The sequence below is a fragment of the Homo sapiens genome, chromosome 13 (assembly GCF_000001405.40).
Source record: "Homo sapiens chromosome 13, GRCh38.p14 Primary Assembly".
Lineage (NCBI taxonomy): Eukaryota > Metazoa > Chordata > Mammalia > Primates > Hominidae > Homo > Homo sapiens.
The window spans coordinates 39,005,141-39,007,751 of record NC_000013.11 but is presented as its reverse complement, the minus strand read 5'-3'; the positions used below and the strand labels follow the sequence as shown (position 1 = coordinate 39,007,751).

The following is a 2,611-nucleotide window of genomic DNA, read 5'->3' as shown; positions in this document are numbered from 1 at the left end:
TTGTATTCATTGATTTTCCAACGCACTTATTCCAGTTCAGGGTCACTGGTGGCTGGAGCTGATCCCTGCAGCTCAGGATGCAAGGCAGGGACCCATCCTGGACAGGACACCATCCCATCCCAGGGCACACTCACACACCAATGCTCACTCAGACTGGGACAACCTAGACACACGAGAAAACCTAACAGGCACCTTAGGATGTGGAAGAAACCAGAATATGTGGAGACAGATGTGGGGAGAATGCAAACCATGCAGACAGAGGCCCCAGCCACTCATCTTACAATAAAACAATGTGGAACAAAAGGATGTTATTTGAGGACCTCCTATATTAGAATCTCAACACTTGTAAATGGAAAGGAAGCAGTGTTGGAAGGCTTTTCTGAGTCCTGAACTTTCAGGGATGGGCCATTTTAAGGACATACAAACTCTTCCAGTAGAAAGACACTCCTCTTTCTATTGACTATGTATGAGTATTGACTCTTTCTATTGACTATATATGACTATATGACCCCTCAAGTCATTCTTAAAGACCAGCTTAACCATGATACCAAAACTCAGACAAGAATAGTATGAAAAATAAAAAATACATGTCAAGCTTACTCAAGGGAATAGTACAAAACCATAAAGTATTAGCAATACAAGTAGAGCATTTTTTTTTTTAAAAAAAGATGACAGACCATGATCAAGTTGTGTTTGTTTCAGGAGTGCAAGGGTAAAATAACATTAGGAAATCTAAGAGTGCAATTTGCCACGTAGAGAAAAAACATTCTTGGTCTATGCATCAAAAACATTAAACATTTGATAAAATTCAACCACCATAATGGCTAAAAAATAAAAAAAAAAAACTCTTTGCAAACTAGGTTAAAAAAAACTTCCGGGAGGAGCCAAGATGGCCGAATAGGAATAGCTCCGGTCTACAGCTCCCAGCATGAGCAACGCAGAAGACGGGTGATTTCTGCATTTCCATCTGAGGTACCGGGTTCATCTCACTAGGGAGTGCCAGGCAGTGGGCGCAGGCCAGTGGGTGCACGCACCGTGCACGAGCTGAAGCAGGGCGAGGCATTGCCTCACCTGGGAAGCGCAAGGGGTCAGGGAGTTCCCTTTCAGAGTCAAAGAAAGGGGTGACGGACGCACCTGGAAAATCGGGTCACTCCCACCTGAATATTGCGCTTTTCAGACCGGCTTAAAAAACGGCGCACCATGGGACTATATCCTACACCTGGCTCGGAGGGTCCTACGCCCACGGAGTCTCGCTGATTGCTAGCACAGCAGTCTGAGATCAAACTGCAAGGCGGCAGCGAGCCTGGGGGAGGGGCGCCCGCCATTGCCCAGGCTTGCTTAGGTAAACAAAGCAGCCAGGAAGCTCGAACTGGGTGGAGCCCACCACAGCTCAAGGAGGCCTGCCTGCCTCTGTAGGCTCCACCTCTGGGGGCAGGGCACAGACAAACAAAAAGACAGCAGTAACCTCTGCAGACTTAAATGTCCCTGTCTGACAGCTTTGAAGAGAGCAGTGGTTCTCCCAGCACGCAGCTGGAGATCTGAGAACGGGCAGACTGCCTCCTCAAGTGGGTCCCTGACCCCTGACCCCCGAGCAGCCTAAATCGGAGGCACCCCCCAGCAGGGGCACACTGACACCTCACACGGCAGGGTATTCCAACAGACCTGCAGCTGAGGGTCCTGTCTGTTAGAAGGAAAACTAACAAACAGAACGGACATCCACACCGAAAACCCATCTGTACATCACCATCATCAAAGACCAAAAGTAGATAAAACCACAAAGATGGGGAGAAAACAGAACAGAAAAACTGGAAACTCTAAAACGCAGAGCACCTCTCCTCCTCCAAAGGAACGCAGTTCCTCACCAGCAACGGAACAAAGCTGGATGGAGAATGACTTTGACGAGCTGAGAGAAGAAGGCTTCAGACGATCAAATTACTCTGAGCTACGGGAGGACATTCAAACCAAAGGCAAAGAAGTTGAAAACTTTGAAAAAAATTTAGAAGAATGTATAACTAGAATAACCAATACAGAGAAGTGCTTAAAGGAGCTGATGGAGCTGAAAACCAAGGCTCGAGAACTACGTGAAGAATGCAGAAGCCTCAGGAGCCGATGCGATCAACTGGAAGAAAGGGTATCAGCAATGGAAGATGAAATGAATGAAATGAAGCGAGAAGGGAAGTTTAGAGAAAAAAGAATAAAAAGAAATGAGCAAAGCCTCCAAGAAATATGGGACTATGTGAAAAGACCAAATCTACGTCTGATTGGTGTACCTGAAAGTGATGCGGAGAATGGAACCAAGTTGGAAAACACTCTGCAGGATATTATCCAGGAGAACTTCCCCAATCTAGCAAGGCAGGCCAACGTTCAGATTCAGGAAATACAGAGAACGCCACAAAGATACTCCTCGAGAAGAGCAACTCCAAGACACATAATTGTCAGATTCACCAAAGTTGAAATGAAGGAAAAAATGTTAAGGGCAGCCAGAAAGAAAGGTCGGGTTACCCTCAAAGGGAAGCCCATCAGACTAACAGCGGATCTCTCGGCAGAAACCCTACAAGCCAGAAGAGAGTGGGGGCCAATATTCAACATTCTTAAAGAAAAGAATTTTCAA

At 46.3% G+C, this 2,611-nt stretch overlaps 1 annotated feature.

Annotated features, from left to right (window-relative positions):
- Positions 583-1,191: an enhancer, noted in NCBI's record as "NANOG-H3K27ac-H3K4me1 hESC enhancer chr13:39580698-39581306 (GRCh37/hg19 assembly coordinates)". NCBI's record gives its function as "activates a minimal SCP1, AML or CMV promoter by ChIP-STARR-seq in naive H9 embryonic stem cells {active_cell/tissue: H9 hESC(naive)}" and the evidence as "EXISTENCE:reporter gene assay evidence [ECO:0000049][PMID:30033119]".